The sequence below is a fragment of the Homo sapiens genome, chromosome 9 (genome assembly GCF_000001405.40).
Source record: "Homo sapiens chromosome 9, GRCh38.p14 Primary Assembly".
Classification (NCBI taxonomy): domain Eukaryota; kingdom Metazoa; phylum Chordata; class Mammalia; order Primates; family Hominidae; genus Homo; species Homo sapiens.
In genome coordinates, this window is record NC_000009.12 from 116,783,057 (window position 1) to 116,802,762 (window position 19,706).

At 42.1% G+C, this 19,706-nt stretch overlaps 1 protein-coding gene across 3 annotated transcripts in view, besides 2 other annotated features; it reads right to left on the reverse strand.

The window, feature by feature from the left end:
- Positions 1–19,706, reverse strand: part of ASTN2 (astrotactin 2) — a 991,946-nt gene that overhangs the window by 359,945 nt on the left and 612,295 nt on the right. The window lies entirely within an intron of this gene.
- Positions 16,949–17,693: an enhancer, noted in NCBI's record as "H3K4me1 hESC enhancer chr9:119562284-119563028 (GRCh37/hg19 assembly coordinates)". NCBI's record gives its function as "activates a minimal SCP1, AML or CMV promoter by ChIP-STARR-seq in primed H9 embryonic stem cells {active_cell/tissue: H9 hESC(primed)}" and the evidence as "EXISTENCE:reporter gene assay evidence [ECO:0000049][PMID:30033119]".
- Positions 18,686–19,187: an enhancer, noted in NCBI's record as "H3K27ac hESC enhancer chr9:119564021-119564522 (GRCh37/hg19 assembly coordinates)". NCBI's record gives its function as "activates a minimal SCP1, AML or CMV promoter by ChIP-STARR-seq in primed H9 embryonic stem cells {active_cell/tissue: H9 hESC(primed)}" and the evidence as "EXISTENCE:reporter gene assay evidence [ECO:0000049][PMID:30033119]".

The following is a 19,706-nucleotide window of genomic DNA, read 5'->3' on the forward strand; positions in this document are numbered from 1 at the left end:
TCAAACTAGACTGTCCTAGTAAAACTAGGATATATGAGCACCCTCCACAGATGGGCATATATCGCAACTGTCAGGCTTTCTGCGTCTCTATCACCTCGAACAGTGGTTAAAATTTTAGTCAGTGTAGCATATTTTTTGAATGAATGAATGTATAAAACAGTTCCTTTTTTTTTTAAACAAGTCTCACAGGCAAACTCATAAAATCTTTCCTTCCTTCCTTCCTTCCTTCCTTCCTTCCTTCCTCCCTCCCTCCCTCCCTCTCTCCCTCTATCTCTCTTTCCCTCCCTCCCTCCCTCTCTCTCTCCTTGTCATTCTTCCCTCCTTTCAACCTTCTATCTTGTTAACGACCTACCACGCACCAAGCCCTGTTCACTCTAATTACTGGGCATACAAATAAACATGGCTCTGTCTTGGGAGTGAGAAGGAGAAACAATTAGCATGTAGTGAGCATCTACTATGCATCTGTTGCTTTAAACATTGTATATTATTAATATATATCCAACTATTCAGTGAGGTAGTTAATATGTTCACCTAGACAATGAAGCATAGAGACAGGTCAGGTGACTTGGCCAAGGTCACACAGCTAATAGCAGCAGAGGTTGAATTCAATTTCAGGTCTGCCAGAGTACAAAGCTGTGGTCTCATCTCTAAACTAAGCTACTGCCTAAACTGTGTAGAAGGAAGGCGAAATATAGGGCAGTACAGGGTGTAAAGAGCTATGGGCTGAGGAGGTTCCTAATACATGAGCACAGAAGCTTCTCTAACCCACAAAATCTTATGCTCTTTATCGATGGACATAAGAAAAATCCATCTCTAACTTACAGCTACCATTTGTTGAGAACTTAGTTGTATAGATACTTTGCTAGGTCTTGGAAATTTATAATAATGAAGAGTCAAGAGTCAAGTTAAGCAGGGGAGGTAAATATCAAATAATAATACAAATATTAATTTTATTTTTCACAGGTATTTCAGAGAAAAAAATAGTATGAGGACCATATAGTATGAGACACAGTATTTTTTAATCACTATTTTCACAGATAAGAAAAATGAAGCTTGAATGGATAAATGGATCAAGACTGCACTCTACAGAGCTAGGATTTGAACCCACATCTACTTAGCTCCGAAGTCTGTATTGTGTTTACTTCCCCACTTTTCTCCTGAACAATTCAATCATAACACCCCTAATGAAACAGAGCAAATCCTTCACCACTACTTTTCATGCTCTTTAAACCTCAAAGTTTTTACATGCAGAACAGATATAACACTGGCTCTTCTCTGTAAGCTTGTTGTGGCAATTAAAGAAAAGACAGCACTTGAAGCACCTTGCAGAGTGCCTGGTCCACAGACATGTTCAGTAAATAGCAAATATTGTCATCATTAATATTATTAGACAGTATTGAATTATTGACTAAGGTCATGTGGTGCTCCATCACACACGCAATGTCCTGTGTTGTTAGTTAACTTTAACATGGGCATGTTTTCATGGCATTCTCCCATTCCCCTATTGTCCCCACCTTTGAGTCCCTCAGCCTAGCACTGTGATATGAATGGAGCAGAATGTGTGACCAACCAAGTGTTAAAAGAGGAGAGAGGCTGTGTTGGGGGGCTCATGCCTGTAATCCCAGCACTTTGGGAAGTTGAGGTGGGTGAATCACCTGAAGTTGGGAGTTCGAGACCAGCCTGACCAACATGGAGAAACCCTGTCTCTACTGAAAATACAAAAGTAGACAGGCGTGGTGCCGCATGCCTGTGATCCCAGTTACTCGGGAGGCTGAAGCAGGAGAATCACTTGAACCAGGGAGGTGGAGGTTGCGGTGAGCTGAGATTGCACCATTGCACTCCAGCCTGGGCAACAAGAGTGAAACTCCGCCTCAAAAAAAAAAAAAAAAAAAAATAAGAGGAGCAAGAAATGGATATTTGAATATGGATTTGGAGCCAGACTGTCTGGATTCCAATCCTGTCTCCATCCTTTACCAGCCAAATGACAATGAGAAAATTATTCAGTCTCTTAACAATTCAGTGTCATCATCTGTTAAAAAATAAGGGAGGGGAAAAGGTTGACAGCTCCTCTAGGTGTCTGTAGAACTGAATGCGTTTGGACAGTGAAGCTGCTGCCTGGGTCTCTTCTTGTGTCACTGGGAGCTCATCCTCAGTCTCCTTTGCTGGTGGCTCTTCACCTCTCCGATGTTAAACTGCAGGACTCAGGGCTCAGGCTCCTCTCTTCTCTATCTACTCCCTAGTGAGTTTGTGTCCTCTCATTTCTTTTCTGTCATCTACATGCTAAATAATCTGAAATGTACATTTCAAGTCATGTTTCTCTTCTGAACTGGTATATCCTACTGGCTTCCTGACATCACCATAAGAATATATATTAGACATGGCCAGATGATGGCTATTGACGCCGGATGATGAGTGCCTGGGGTTCCATCACACTATGGTCTACTTGTATAAATGATTGCAATGTTTCACAATCAAGTTCATCTTTTAACATTATCAAAAACAAATTTCTCTTTCTATTCCCCTCCCTTGTGCCTGCTCCTCCTGTGGGCTTTCCTGTCTCCATCAATGGCACATCCGTCTGTCCAACTGCTCAGGCAAAATTCAGGGCACTAACCTTGCCTCCCTCCTTTCTCTCCCTCATCAGTAAATCTAGTTGTCCCACCTTCAGAATACATACAGAATCTGCCCACCTCTCTCCATGCTGACTTGTCTGAACATGCTCCAATCCACAGTCGTCTGACATCTGGACCACAGAAGTAGCCTGGGAACTGCTTTCCCTGATTTCACCCTGCCCACTAACGTCTATTCTTCACACCCCAGTCAGATTATAGACCTTTTCTGCTCAAATAATGCACTAGCTTGGTTTCCTTCTCACTCAGAGTAAAATTCAAGCTACTGCATTTAGGAGTCCCACAGGACCCTATACAAAATGGCCCATACTTCCCCAGTTGGTACCCATTGCCTCTTTATTTGTAACCTTTTTTCCTACTACTTGCCCCGCCTCCTTCCCCTCTGTTCTATCCACCGAGGCTCCTTTTGGTCCACAGAAAATGCCAAGGGTCTTTGAACTCGGTGTGCCTTCTACCTGGAAGCTGTTCCCCAGATATGTGCATAGTTCACTGCCTTGTTTCAGATCTTTATACAAACGTCACCTTGTCAAGTAAGTCTTCCAGCCTGTAAAACATAGAATCCCCTGCCTAAAACCCTCTAGTACCCTTAACTCAACCTGCTTTTCTCCACAGTGTATGTACCTGACAGGGTGTATATTTATTTGTTGATTGTCCCCTACACTAGAATATAAACCTTCAGAGCAGGGGTTTTTATATATTTTGTTCACTATTGTCTTCCTGGTTTCCTAGAACAGTCAGTGTCATAGAATAAGTGCTCAAAAAATATTTTTGATAGAGTGAAGATACAATAGTGTCTGGTGCAGTGTGTCATTGTTATCTGGTTACTCTTATTACTACAATCACTACTGTTACTTGTTACTCTTGTTACTACAATCACTACTACCTAAATACTGGAGAGATACCCAAGAAACTAATAAAAATGGGGGATAGGGGAAAAGGATAGAAAAAAAACTGAGAAAGGAGTGACATTCCTCATTGAATGTCTTTTATACTGTTTGTGTTTTTAAACTTTGTAACTTTAATGCCTGTAAAGAAATCAGTTTAAAAATATGCTGATATGGTTTGGCTGTGTCCCCACTGAAATCTCATCTTGAATTGTGGTTCCCATTATCTCCATGGGTCCTGGGAGAGACCAGGTGAAGATAATTGAGTCATGGGTCCTGGGAGAGACCAGGTGAAGATAATTGAGTCATGGGGGCCATTTCCCCCATCCTGTTCTCATAATAGTCAGTCAGTTCTAAAGAGAGCTGGTGGTTTTAAAAGGGGCTTCCCCTTTCACTGGACACTCATTCTCTTTCCTGCTGCCCTGTGAAGACGTAGCTTCCGCCATGACTGTAAGTTTCTTAAGGCCTCCCCAGCCATGGGGAACTGTGAGTCCATTAAACCTCTTTCCTTTACAAAATACCCAGTCTTGGGTATGTCCTTACAGTAGCATGAGAATGAACTAATACATATGCCTACCAAACTGTCGCAGCCAAGCGGAGCTAAGGAGATGGACAACTCAGTGTGAGATGGTGACCAAGATGCTCTTAAGCTTCCCATCAGCTTGACTAAACACCAGGCAGGCTTCTCCAGTCTCTAGATCCCTGACCTGCCTTTTCTTAAAGCATTTACTTTAGAAACTTGCAATTGTAAATTCTTTCTCTGCCCCTTTAAGACATAAATCTTTTATAAAGTTTCTTGCCAGTTTTACAATCTAGGACTGTCTTTCTCAAGGACGTGGGAGCTATTTCTTTGAAATGTAATCATCAAGGAAGACAGTACCCCTATCTCTTAGTCTTTGTGGAAGGGTGGAAGCCCAACTTCCATGGACACCAATTAGCAAACACAGATGGCCTAATCACAGAGAAATACATTTGCAAAGTCAAGAATAACTCAATGTGCTGGACATATCCTATTGTTCAATCTCCTAATGTCCTCCAGTACTTTTCCACTTACTCCAGCAATTAAAAACCCTCCTGTCCTTTTCAGTTTCAGTGAAATTGAGTTCAGACCTCTCTCCTTCCTCTATTGCAATAGCCTTGAATAAAGTCTTTCTTGCCTGTTTAACATCATCCAGTGTCATTTTGCTTTGATGTCTGTATGCTGAATGGGCTCCTGTATCAGAAAAAGGACATCAGATAAAAACTAAGGAAATCTGAATAAAGTATGAACTTTAGGTAATAATAATGTATCAATATTGATTTATTAATTATAACAAATGTACCATAAAAATATAAGAGGATGCTATGGGAAACTGATTGCAGGGTATATGGAAACTCTCTGTACTATCTTTGTGGTTTATCTATAAATCTAAAACTGTTTAAAATAAAAAAATATATTTTTAAAATCCTATCTGAACCTGGAGGACATCATGCTAAGTGAAATAAGCCAAACACAGAAAGACAAATACTGCATGTTCTCACTTGTATGTGGAATCTAAAAAGTCAAACTCGTATTAGAGAGTAGAATGGTGGTTATCAGAGGCAGGGGGTGGGAAGAAGATGAGGAATTGCGGGGAGATGAAGAATAGGGAGAGATTGGTCAAAGGGTACAATGTTTCGATTAGACAGGAGGAGCAAGTTTTAGTCCATTGCTCAGTGTGGTGACCATCGTTAATAATGGATTATATATTTCAAAAATTTGCTTTGAAAAGTTTTTTAATATTCTCATCACAAAAAGTATGTGAGATGATGAACATGTTTATTAGCTTGATTTAATCATTCCACAGTGAGCACATATGTCAAAACATCACATTCTATCTCATAAATATATAGAAGTAGTATTTGTACATTAAAATATATATTAAAAATAACCCTATCTGAGTGGAATACGGAAAAGAACATCCAAGTGTCAGAAAGATCCAGTAAGTAAGGCTCTGACACCAGCTATGTGATGACAGTCAAGTCATCAGATCTCTTTGAGACCCAGTTACCTCATTTATAAAATGACACTTGCAAATCCACTAACATCATGCATTCTCAGTAGTCGCAGAAATTGTCTTAGACAATACAATGGCTTGTGGTCCTCCAATGTCTAACTCTACCCAATAAAACTGTGACCCTTAGTATTTAATTTCTCTCATTAAGAAGAATTCAATCCTATTTTTTTTCTATGACAAGGGGTGACAGTAAAAAACAAGTTTGAACACAGCCTTAGATAATACAAAAAATAAAAAAGTATATTACTTTCCCTTTACACCAACATTAGACCGAGTTTTGTTCAGCCTGAATCCCCAGAACCTGTCACATAATAAGCTCTTGATGTGTACTGATTGGCTGGAGCACAAAGCTGAAGCAAATTTAATTGCAATTTAGCTTAATTCTCAAGCTGTGTTTCCACCTTCTTTGCAAATACAGCTGCAAAATGCCTATATGGTCTCTGGGCTTGTTTATTCCCAGTGGCTGGGTCCTCACTAACTCCTAAGAAGTAGGGAATTAATCGAAACTTACAGGGATATCCTTTAGAGCAACTTTAGTTCTCTGAACCACGGCATGACAAGTAAGAACAATCACTTCATCGTCTTTCTTTCCTCCTACACTAGAAAGCATCAAAAAGAAAGGGAAGCAGCCTCAAGGTCACTGGGAACTCAGTAAAGAATGAAGAGGCTGACTCAGGGTTTAAGGTTCTTTCAAAGTCCTCAGGCATACAATGAATTAACCAGCCCTGGGCTACTCAAATGCCTGTAGCTTTGACTCCTGGCTTGTGCCTGCTAATTAACTGTCCACTTAATGGGCTCCTCTGAGGATCTCAGGCAACATAAAAAAATAAATGCTCATTTTGGACTCTTAAAAGCCACCTTTGAGGTGTTCCACTAGATTATCATTAATAGTAATTATTCAGTAGTGATGTTACATAAAACCCCAGCCACTGCCCTTGGAGCTTTCTGTATAAATTCACATCCAATAAACTGTGATCATATCTTTCATTAGAACTGTTACTACATACATTTCAATTCAGGGCATCTCTTTGAAATAAAACTATTTCCTTAAAAGTTAATTTTCTTGATACACATGTGTGGGCTTATTAATGTGACCTTAGAATAGACTTACTGTTTCATTTATCTGGAAGGAATACAAAGAAAGTAATGCTGGCAAATTTGCATCTCACATGATTTCAAGTGTGACAGGACGCACACTACAACACAATTTTGGAGTAAGTGGTATCTCACAGATCCCTGGATTCATGTTGAGGAAAATGTCACTAATACTCCCACATCTTTACAAGGCATCTTAACCTGACTTTTCTCTTTCTCTTTTTTTTTTTTTTTTTTTTTTTGAGATAGAGTCTTACTCTGTCACCCAGGCTAGAGTGCAGTGGCGTGGTCTTGGCTCACTGCAACATCTGCCTCCCTGGTTCAAGCGATTCTCCTGCCTCAGCCTCCCGAGTAGTTTGGATTACAGGCACTCACAACCACACCCAGCTAATTTTTGTGTTTTTAGTAAAGACTGGGTTTCACCATGTTGGCCAGGCTGGTCTTGAACTCCTGACCTCAGATGATCTGCCTGCCTCGGCCTCCCAAAGTGCTGGGATTGCAGGCGTGAGCCCCCACACCCGGCCTACCCTTACTTTTCTCATCACCTCTTTCTCCTCTTCATAATTCTCCTGTGAGGCAGGCACTGTTATGTTCCCTGACTTCATGGTGAGAAAACTGAGGCTTAGAAAGGCAATTAGAAGGTGCAAGGTCTTACAGCTAGTAATGGCCCCCTTTGGTGCTTACATAGCCTTTCCTGTTGGAATGTCCATCCTCCGCCCTGGCTTCCTTACCTCTGCAATCCCATCCCTCCACCCCTTCATGACCCACCTTGACTTTCACGTCTGCAGACCCTCTTTGTTCTCATTTGCCTGGAACACTCCCTCACATGCTAACTGTTACTCTAGCCTCCAGGTCTCAGGAAGCACTTCTTCCAGGGAGTCTTCGCTGCCTCTCACTGAGCAAAATGCACTTGATGAGTAGTCCTTCTGCACAAGAATAGGGACGTCAACTGTCTTCTTCTCTTTATCTCCAGAGATTTTTTTTTTTTTTTTGAGATGGAGTCTCACTCTGTCACCCAGGCTGGAGTGCAGTGGTGTGATCTCGGCTCACTGCACCTCTGCCTCCCAGGTTCAAGCGATTCTCCTGCCTCAGCCTCCCGAGTAGCTGGGATTACAGGCATGCGCCACCACGCTGGGCTAATTCTTGTATTTTTACTAGAGACGGGGTTTCACCATATTGAAAAGAAAGGAAAAAGAGGAAAGAAAGAAAGAGAAAGAAAGGAAGGAATGAAAGAAAGAAAGAAAGAAAGAAAGAAAAGAAAGAAGGAAAGAAAGAAAGAAAGAAAGAAAGAAAGAAAGAAAGAAAGAAAGAAAGAAAGAAAGAAAGAAAGAAAGAAAGAAAGAAAAGAAAAGAAAGAAAGAAGGAAAGGTCTCAAACTCCTGGCCTCTAGTGATCCACCTGCCTAGGCCTCCCAAAGTGCTGGGATTACAGGCGTGAGCCACCGCACCCAGCCCTATCTCCAGAGATTTATAAGACCTGATATATAACAGATGTTCAATAAAAACTCGTTAACTCACAAATGAGAACTAGTGGTAAAGCCAGGGCTAGAACTTCTGACCTCAAGTTCATTTCTGTCATCATCTTATTCCCTCTTATAATTAATAAAACAATAACAGTAACAAATGACTTCTGAGGTGTGATTTCTTTCTTGAGTGAGATACCAATGTGGATTGACCATAATGTAATACAGTAAAATTTCAGTACTGTGGACTCCATTAAGAATGCATAATGCCTTGACCAGCAGCTGGGCTGGCTCATACCTTAGAAGTGTTTATTTATAAAAGAGATTGCTAAGCACATTAGTGCATTAGCAGTGTAAACAAGATCATGGGGGAAATGGCAGAAGACACTTAAGAGAACAAACTGCCTGGAGTCACTTTGGAAGCAGCCATTATGAACAAACAATCACTGTGCTAATTACAATTGCTCTGCTAATTACAATTACTGTGCTAATTACAATCTAACCTTATCTGTTCATAGGTTCCCTAAGGACTTTTCTTTCTGAGCGTTTAGACCAGCCTGAGTTACGGCCTGCATTTGAGTGTAATGAAATTGCGCTTCTTTAAAAATTGTCTCTGCTTCAGATGTCTCAGTGATTCAGATAGGCTTTCCCCTTCTAGAAAAAGAACACAGTCAGGGATTTTGAAGCCAGAAATTTAAAACAAAACCAAAAAAGGGGGGAAAGCGAGCTGTGAAGACAAGCAAAATGGATCTTGTTGATTTTGTTGTTTTAGCACCTCTTGCAGTCTAGAGACACATTTTTAGGTTAGTTGGAGAACATTTGAAATATACTCTGTATAATTTGTTTTCTTCATAAAATGACCAGGTTTGGTATATTTAGAGATGTTAACATTGAGAAAATTTTAAAAAATTAAAGTGGCTATTTTTCTTTCCTCTCTTACCATAAATACGGGGAAAGATTACAGAGGGCTTGTTTAAAAATGGATCCCAATTCCCTGCTCCCCATTAAAAAAATAATAATAATAAAGAACATCTTTCACTAGATCTTAATTTTACTACTTACTTTCTATCCCCAGTCAAACTAATGGGTGTTGATGCTATGAGATTTTTGTTTCAGCGCTTAAGAATAATAAAGCTTCACCCAGGCCAATGTCTTCTCCTAAATGGATTTCTCGCTACTCTTCCAGGAGTTTGTCTTCAACCTTTGACCTGAAGCAGAATGCAGCCCAGCACTCTGCTGGTAAGTAGCTTTCTGCTGCATCCAATTATGGCTGAAATTGCAGCGTGGGCACATAGAGGAGGCTCTAATCCAGGCACCCAACCGTGGCTTCAGCACCTGGGACTTAGCAGCCTGCCTTCAATAAGTGCCTTCTCTGTTGGCACTGATCTCTAAGCATCCCTGTGCCCATCAGATAGCAGAGCGGATGAACACAAAATAACCTTTGCTACATTATGCACCGGGGGCCTATTGGATTGCAGGAGAGGTCTGTCTCCCCTGGCTGCTGCAAAACTGAAACATATTCTCTGCACTTGGTCACTCTAGAGAGGATTATACGCAGAAGACTTCTTTAAGATTCCATGGATCTCTAGTGCCATTGGCCTTGGGACTTGGTTCCTGCTTTCAAACTGGCAAATGGAGGAACAACAATTCTTCATTCTCAGGCATAACCTAGGCAGCTCGTGTTTCCATCTAGCATTTAAGTTCAGTTTAACACTTTGCTATTCAAAGCTGTTCCTCTGTACTCATGGACATAAAGATGGGAATAGCAGAAACTGGGGACTACTGAGGGGGGAAGGAGAAAGGGGACAAGGGTTAAAAACTGAATATTGGGTACTATGCTCAGCACATGAGTAAAGGGATCATTCATTGCCCAAACCTCAGGATCATGCAATATACCCAGGTAAAAAACCTGCACATGTACCCCCTGAATCTCAAAGTTGAAAAAAAAATTTAAAAAGAGAAACAAACAAAAAATAATAAAATAAAACACACATAACAATTAACCCAATCATTCTATTCCTAGGAATTTGTCCTACGGATATATTAGTATGCTCAGACATATATACATAAAATTGTTCACTGAAATACGTTTTGGAAAAGCCAAAAACTGGAAGCAACCTAGATGTGCATGAATAAAGGAGTGGTTAATAATTATATGATTCAATCATTCAACACATATTCAGCAGGAACGGGGGACACAGCAATGAACAACACAGACAGAAATCCCTGCCCTCATGGAGCATATGTTATCCCTACAGTGGAAAAATATGGTATGCCTGAAACGTAGGAGGAAGATCTATAAACATTGATAGCTCTCCAAGAGCTATGAGTAAGTGAAAAACTCAAGGTGCAGAACAGTATGGCTGGCTATCTAGCTAGCTAGATATTTAGATCATATGATCCCACTTGGAAACACATATTTTAATTTGTTTAAAATTCTGGTGAATACAAAAGGAACTTAACGGTCCTTTGGGAAATGGGATTGAGGTCCAGAAAAAACAGAATCTTAAATATGTTTGAAAAACAAACAAAAAAGCTGGTCCTTGGACCCAGCAGCTAATTTGAAATACAGAGCCTCAGAATTTATTACCTGTGGCCTACTGATGCATAATCTATATTTTAGCAGGCAATTGGTTTGTACCTTAGAGTTTGAGAAGCACTGGCATAATTCATGTGTATTGAGTTCTGACTTTAAGCAGATATATGGAAAATTCCCACCTTTAGATAGGGTTTTCATGCATAATAATGATGAGCTATTATTTGCTTCCCAGCTCTTAGAGGATCATATGGTTTGGACCAGGAGTGTCCAATTTTTTGGCTTCCCTGGGCCATGTTGGAAGAAGAAAGAATGGTTTTGAGCCACACATCAAATACACTAACATCAATAATAGCTGATATGCAAAACAAAACAAAACAAAACAAAAATAAACACCTTTTTTTTTTTTTTTTTTGAGATGGGGTTTCACTCTTGTTGCCCAAGCTGGAGTGCAATGGTGCAATCTCGGTTCACCAAAACCTCCACCTCCCAGGTTCAAGTGATTCTCCTGCCTCAGCCTTCCCGAGTAGCTGGGATTACAGGCAGGCGCCACCAAGCCCGGCTAATTTTGTATTTTTAGTAGAGATGGGATTTCTCCATGTTGGTCAGGCTGGTCTCGAACTCCTGACCTCAGGTGATCCACCCACTTCGGCCTCCCAAAGTGCTGGGATTACAGGCGTGAGCCACCGAGCCGGGCCAAAAACCTCATAATATTTGAAGAAAGTCTACAAATTTGCATTAGGCCACATTCAAAGCCATCCTGAGCCACATATGGCTTGCAGGCTGTGGGTTGGATGAGCTTGGTTTAGACCATGTGCATGTGCCTGAGCACACATGTTATCTAGAGGCCATGGAGTGTTTAGAAGAGCAGCCCTTCAATCCTGGCTCCATTATTTACACGCTGTGTGGCCTTGAATGCCATGCTTCCTCTCTCTGGGCTTCAATTTTCTCATGTAAAGCGTATGAGCATCAATCTGCTTTGTCAACATGTGTCATGGGAGAAATATCTGCCTATGCCCCTCAAACACAGGCTTTGAAAGGGATAGAAAACAGTTTTACAAGATGGGTTATGCTTTAAGGGTATTGGGAAATGAACAGAGGATGTGATGTGGTGATAATAGGGGAAGAAAATTAGGACAGGTAGTAGGTGAGCGAGACTGATGTGCAGTCCAGCAAGGCTTGCTGGTTAAGCTTTATGCTGTTTGAAAGGGCCTCCTTTCCTATTGGGCAAGTGGCACTTCTATGCTTATCGTTAAATGTTTTTGTTTTTGTTTTTTTGTTTGCTTGGTTTTTTCAGATGGAGTTTCACTCTTGTTGCCCAGGCTAGAGTGCAATGGTGCAATCTCGGCTTACTGCAATCTCCGCCTCCTGGGTTCAAGTGATTCTCTGGCCTCAGCCTCCCATGTAGCTGGGATTACAGGCACCTGTCACCACACCCAGCTCATTTTTTTTGTATTTTTAATAGAGACGTGGTTTCACCATGTTGGCCAGGCTGGTCTCGAACTCCTGACCTCGTGATCCACCCGCCTCGGCTTCCCAAAGTGCTGGGATTACAGGCGTGAGCCACTGCACCCGGCCTTATCAGTAAATATTTTTAATATCACCCTAGAGGTGGGAGATTAGCACACCACTGCAACTTTTGGATCTGGGCCCAGGCCCTTTATCAAATTCCACATAGTAAATATGAACACTTAAATCCCACATTCCTAATAAGATGTGTTTCATTACAGAATGTTCAGACAGAAAAAAAAGGATGTCCCTATAAGGGACAGGTGACAGAACACACTGGAGAGATTATGTTTTCCCGAGGCTGTGATTCCACACTGCTAGCTGAGCTGTCCACTTCCCATGACCCTCACCCCCAGAGCATGAAGGGCTGAGCTTCTGCCCCTATCCTGGGCATTTGATGAAAGCACCATGTTTACCAAAACATGAGCTGCTTAGAAGAAGTTGAGAGGATAACCCTGGCTCCAGTCCAGAAATAAGTTTTGCAGGGAATGAAAAAAAACCCATCTTCATCTGCTGTATGGCTCCTGGAACTGGGGGGAAAGGAATGCAATTTAAGGCAGAGAAAGGAATGGTTATTGGGATCCTACTGTGTGCTGGGAGCTTTGCTTATTTGCCTGTTAAATCCTTGCCAAAGCTCTTCAGGGTTATTTTAAGGTAAAACACCACTTTATAGTTGAAGATCTTGAGATTACTGAAGTTAAGAAATTTATCCAAAGCCACACAGCTTGGAAAGGGCAGACACGGGATTTGGACCCTGTTAGTTTTTAACAGCAGCACACCAGCCAGGAAGAGGATCTAGTCCCTGCATAATCCTGCACATGCAAGTGAGCTTTGCTTACAGCTCCTCCTTAGTGATGAACCTGGCAGCCCTCTATGGCACGTGGGACTTCTGTCTGCCAAGGACAGATATGAAACAGGTTCCAATTCCATTTAATTATCTCAACACCAGGAAGTGGGCATTGTTACTATTATTCTTAATTTAGGGATGGGGGAAATTGAGGCTTAATGAAATAATGTGTCTATAGTCACACAGTTGGCCAAGCTGGGACTCTGAGTCCAGAGCTGGCCTCTTAAATACAAAGTCATTGTATCCCAAAATTGTTGGATCATGTGAACCACTTGGAAATACTGGTAAAAATTCGCTTTCCCGAATCCCTTTTCTGGGAAAAATGGTGGGTCTTGGTGCAGCCCCACGTGATTCTTATGATCAGGTGAATAGGAAAAGCTTCCCTAAGCTCCTGGCCATAGGAGTTGAGTAGCAAAAATGCTATGTTTTGTGTCAGATGCTCTCAGCCTCTATCTGATATTTGCATTAGCCTTAATTTACAGAAGAGGCCACAGAAACCAGGGAGAAGAATGGCCAAGGGTGATACAGCAGGAAATGGCAGAGCAGTATCAGAAACTCATAGGAGCAGAGAGTAGAATTGCAGTTGTCAGGAACTGGGTGAAGGGAAAAATGGGGAGGCAAGGACTAAAGGGCACAAAGTTTTGGGAACAGTTTTATTATGCAAGATAAATAAGTTCTGGAGATCTATTACATAGTATAGTCCCCATAGCTAACAATACTGTATTGTAGACTCAAATTTCACTAAGATATGTTAAATGTTTTGTTTTGTTTTTTGAGACAGGATCTCACAGTGTCACCCAGGCTGGAATGCAGTGGTGCCATCATGGCTCACGGCAGCCTTAAATTCCTGGGCTCTAGTGATCCTCCCACCTCAGCCTCTCAAGTAGCTGTGACTACTGCTGCACAACACCATGTTCAGCTAACTTAATTTTTCTTTTTTTTTTTTGTAGATATGTGATATCACTATAATCCTCAGACTAGTCTTGAACTCCTGGCCTCAAGCAATCTTCCCATCTTGGCCTCCCAAAATGCTGGGTGTTAAATGTTCTTAGCATAAAAATCTAAATAAACAAAGAGGGTGGGAGAAAACTATGGAAGGTAATGGATCTATCTATGGCCTTGACGGTGGTGATGGATTCACTAGTATATACTTATCTCCAAACTAATCAAGTTGTGCACATTAGATAAGAACAGCTTTTTATATGTCAATTATACTTTAATAAAGTGGTTTGAAAAAAGAAAGTTAGCTTTCTGATTCCAGCCCCTATGCTACACCCAACACTGGTCTTGATTCCTGCAGAAGATGTCAGAAAACCTTGGAAACATGGAGCCACACAAAAGAAAAGAGGTTTTTTTTTCTGCAACCAGTTCAGGAGTCAGAATGCCAGGAAAATTCACCCCTTGACTCCTCTAATCCAGCCTCCAACTGCTGTCCTCAGTGCACTTCTAAGATCTTGCCAATGGTCCCTCAAAGAAGGCAGCAAAGTGCTATGTTTCCAAGTGACAAGTTGAGGATTTTGCTAAGAGCTTGAATACTGCAGAATATTGCTCCATAGAGAGGCTTGGGAATAGCCTTGAAAATCAGAAGCTAATGCCTCCTTTTAATTAATGCTGTCTCTACTAACAGCCTCTTTTGCTTTTTCTTATTTCAATGAGATCATCGTCTATTATAAAGCACACAGACCTGAGAGTGCACAAACACAACTTTCCAGGCCTGGTTCTGCCACTAATTCTCTATGGGACCTTGGCATTGGTGCTCCTGTACAGTGTCAGGGTTGGATGCCATGTCTCCAAGGCTTCAGACAGAATATAGTGCAGACAAACAGACTGAGCATTGAAGGACTGGCTTATTCATTTATTAGTGATACAATTTTAGGCAATTTACTTAACCACTGTGAGCCTCAGGTATCCCATCTACAAAAGGGGAGAGTTTAGCCAGGTGCAGTGACTCACATCTGTAACTACAGCACTTTGGGAGGCTGAGGTGGAAGGATCACTTGAGGCCAGGAGTTCAAGACCAGCCTGGCCAACATGGTGAAACCTTGTCTCTACTAAAGATACAAAAACTAGCTGGGCATGGTGGCGCACGCCTGTAATCCCAGCTACTCTGGAGGCTGAGGCAGGAGAATCAGGTCAGCCCAGGAGGCATAGGTTGCAGTGAGCCAAGATCATGCCACTGCACGCCAGCCTGGGCGACAGAGCAAGGTTCTGTCCCAGACAGACAAACAAACAAAAGAGGAGAGTTTGTTCAAATTGTTCTGCAAGGCTTTTCCAGCTATAAATTTTGTGGTTCTTCAGTAACTGAAAGAAAGAAATTGACAAGAGAATAGAATGATGTAGTATAGTTCTCAGAGGCTGCAATATGAAACAGGAGAGTGCTGGGAGCCTTGAAGGCATGACTGTTAAGTGAACTTTGGTGTTAAACCCAGATGCTACCACTTTAGCTGTTTGACTGCTAGGCTAGTTAGCCTAATCTGTCTGTGCTTCAGTGTCCCACAAATATGTCTGTGCCTTTGCTTCTCAGTGTCTTACAATGTGCTGAGATAAGACAGCATGTCTTATCGTAAGATGCATCATAAGATAGCATGTCTCTGTCCAATCCTTTGAGATAGCAATGGGACTTAATTTGACCAGAAATAGAAGCAGAATTTCACTGCTAGGAGAAAGTTATGATAGCCAAGTTTGTTTCTCACTATGAAAGCATTAATGGAAGCACAGAAAGGTGATTCTTCTGTCAGTCCAGATTTCCGAACACCAGAATGGCCAGGGCCCCTGCCATTCAGGGAGAGGCAGGTGGTATGACCAACACATAAAAACTTTCACAGTCAGGCCACTGAAGTTTGAAATTGTTTGTTCCCAAGACACAAACGAATGCATTCTGACTGATACATTCATTTCCTTTTATTCATAAAGCCAAGTTGTTAATGGCTCCTTTGCAATAGGTGTGAAAATATCAAATGAAAAAACACATAAAGTATTCAGCATAGGTCCAGACACATAAAAAATGTACACACCATTAAAGGGGCGGGGGGAGGGAAAGAGGTGGAAGGGAGGGGAAAGAAGGTTTCAGAAGCAGCATGTTTAATTAATCACCTCTTAGGAAGGCACTAGAAAAATCATAGGCCACAACAGCTTTGGAGACCACTTAATAAGAACTGACTCAGTATCCTCAGTGGGGGAATGAGTGAGTGCTACTAACAAACACCAGCTTTCCTTGAATCCTTATAGAAAGCCCTTCAGTCTTGCCAAGCGTGGGTTGTGGGTGCTGAATCCCCAAATCCCACATCTTACCCCAAACTGTCCTCTTATGCTATACAATATGCACATCTGATAAGCAGACAAGATTGAAAAGTCCCTTTCTAATAAATCTCTCATGAGCTCCTCCAGCTCTTTGCAGGTCATTCTTGAGGGCCTATTGGCAAATGCCTACTGCCAGCAGACCCATCTTATTTATGATGAGGCTTTTGCAAAATCTACCACTGTAATTTGCTCAGTCCCCATTCCCAAGCAGCTTTTCCTTCCTGTCATTTCTGAGACACCAGGTTCAATAATAGCTCTTGACTGATGTTTATCTAAATCTCTGCAATCTATAACCAAAGTTTACCTTTCTTCCTTATAGGAATGAAGTAGAATGAATGTGGGTAAGAGAGTGGGGGGGGGGAGAATAAAAAACAAACAAATAAACATCAAATACCACCAATCTTTGGTGAGTTTATCTCACTTGAATAGTCTGTCAATTCCCACACTGATCAAGAGCAAAGGAAAGGGGATTCTGACAGTGACCCTACATGGATCACTGAGACCAACACTTAGCACCGGAAGGGATAAGAAACAACAAAGCTTGACATCACTTAATGGATTTGGGGGCAATTTGGAAGTGAAATCATTGGCTCTTCACATTTCCACAGAACTTGACATTTTACCAAAGGCTTCATTCATGTCAATTTCAACATAATTCCTAATCCAGTGGTCTCTCTCAGCACCATCCAGTCTCTCAAAACAAGCCCCATTCCCTTCCGAGGAATAAACTGTATTTTGATTTTTGTATGAACTGTGTCCTTCTTTCTTGATCTTTTCATGTCTCCTTCAGTCCTTCCGTCTTGCACACATTTCCCCCTTCCCCGCCTTCTGCTGTCTGTCTCTGTACCTCCTTAACTCTGTTCACTGCTCTACATCTCTTCTTAATTCTTTCTTTGCTTGCTGTTCCCTCCTGCTGTGACATAGACTGTTCTTTAGTGTCTCCTCTGTTTTTGTCTCTTTCTCCCTGCCTCTGCTCGGTCTGACTGAGTCTCCTTGTCACTCTTGCCCTGTCTTTATCTTTCCATGTGAATCTCTTAATGTGCACCATGCTTAATTTTTGCACACAGTGCAAACCCTTGGACTGTTCAGGAAATATCACCACATGCTCGCCCCCCAGAACAGGCTGTAGCCTACATGCAGTGACCTGAAGAGGTAGCTCCCCATGGAGTGGTCTTTGCCTAAGATCCCTCCTTAGTTATAAATTTGGTCTCCCCCTGTGGCACCTGGGTCCTCACTCTACACTGAGAACAGGGATAGAACACATGGCTCTCCTCATCACATGCTGATATGGGATATAAAGTAGTTGCATACATCCTTTATTGCAGAACAAGAAACCAGGGAGCACTGGTTTGGGAGTCAGAAGCTAACTTTCAGCATGAGAGGAGTTCCAATCACTGTGAATATTGAGCCAGTTATATTATTTCCTGAGCTTCCGTTTCTCCATCTGTACAAGTAAGGTCTGAAATAGTTAATCTTTAAGTTCTTGTCTAGTTCAGAGACATTACATTTTTAAGCGCTTTGTAAAGCAGAAATCTGGGTTGCTCTTTCAGAGATTCAAGAGAGGAAATGAAAACACAGACCTCTCTTATATCAGCAGTTGCTAGGTGGGGTGATCTAGGCAGGGGCAGGGAGGAGTACAAAGCAGAACTGCAGCTGTCACACAGGAGACACTAGCTGGTAGAGAGTTTGATATCCTAGGCCAGCCAATTGTCAGGAAATGAGGCATATGGTGAGACGGCTGGTGGCAGTACTTGCTGGCTACTCTCTAGGGCTGGACCAGAGATTACTTAGAGGAGGGAGGAAAGGAAGTAGTAGGAGGAGAGAAATGACAACTGCATTTGATGCTGAAATATTTGCAGGCTTTCAGGAATGTGAAGGACAAAGGAGCTCCATCCTCCCTGCTGTCTGGAGCTCAGGAAGGGAGACTTGAAAAAGATAAATTTACGGCTGGGCGGGGTGGCTCACGCCTGTAATCCCAGCACTTTGGGAGGCCAAGGGGGGTGGATCGCGAGGTCAGGAGTTTGAGACCAGTCTGGCTAACACAGCGAAACCCCGTCTCTACTAAAAATACAAAAAATTAGCCAGGTGTGGTGTGTGCCTGTAATCCCAGCTACTTGGGAGGCTGAGGCAGGAGAATCGCGTGAACCTGGGAGGTGGAGGTTACAGTGAGCCAAGATCATGTCACTGCACTCCACATTCCAGCCCAGGCAACAGTGTGAGGCTCTGTCTCAAAAAAAAAAAAAAAAAAAAAAAAAAAAGAAAGAAAGAAAAAGAAAGAAAGAAAAGAAAAAAAGGAAAAGATAAATTTAGACCCATCAGAAGTGGCTTGCCTTTCCACAGTGGGGAGGCAACTGACTTAGCATGGTTCCAAGAGGATACATGGTCTGGAGATGGAAATAATTGCAAAGAAAGTTTAGCTGAAGCCAAGGACGACAGAGCTTAAATGGAATAGATTGCTCTAATATAATGGTGGTAGTCTTGGGAGTTTTCTAAATCTTGAGGGTCATCAAAAGAGAAAATCCTGGTCTGTTCACTGTACTCCCCTCCATGGGCAAATCAGGGCACTTAGGCTCTGGCTGTTCAGAGGCAATCCAGGGTTGAGAAGTTGGAAACAATTAGCAGAGTATTTGAGGCAGAACAATGACTTCTAATGGACCTAAAATTGTGTCTGGGACTGGACAGTCAGTCCTAGGCCAGCCTTTAAGGGGCCATGTTCTTTCTTTCTTTCTTTTTTTTTTTTTTTTTTTTTTTGACATGGAGTCTTGCTCTGTCTCCCAGGCTGGAGTGCAGTACCACTATAGGCTCACTGCAAGCTCCGCCTCCCGGGTTTACGCCCTTCTCCTGCCTCAGCCTCCTAAGTAGCTGGGACAACAGGCAGCCGCCACCACGCCCGGCTAATTTTTTGTATTTTTAGTAGAGACAGCATTTCATCATGTTAGCCAGGATGGTCTCAATCTCCTGACCTCATGATCTGCCCGCCTCAGCCTCCCAAAGTGCTGGGATGACAGGCATGAGCCACCACAACCAGCGGTGCCATGCTCTTTCTCACTGACGAGTCTGTTGGCCGTGGGAAGATAAGCACTCCAAGCAGTCAGGAGAACTGAGAACGTGGGCTGGTCCCACAATGACTTGCTTTGTGACCAAGTCCTTTCCCTGCATGTAAAATGAGATCCCAGGATTTAATGAAGTTTGTTCAGGATCTAGCCTCTTACTACCCATGTGGATCCTTCTTTTGGACCAAGCTATCCTTCACACAACAGAATGGTACATTGGCTCAATTATCAAATGCCAGCCACTCTGAGAGCTGCTGTGAGAAATGAAACTCCATAAAACATACAATGTACCTATGGAAATGGCTGGCTTCTGTTAAAAGCACCCCATTTTAAAGATGAAGCAGTAGAATTATG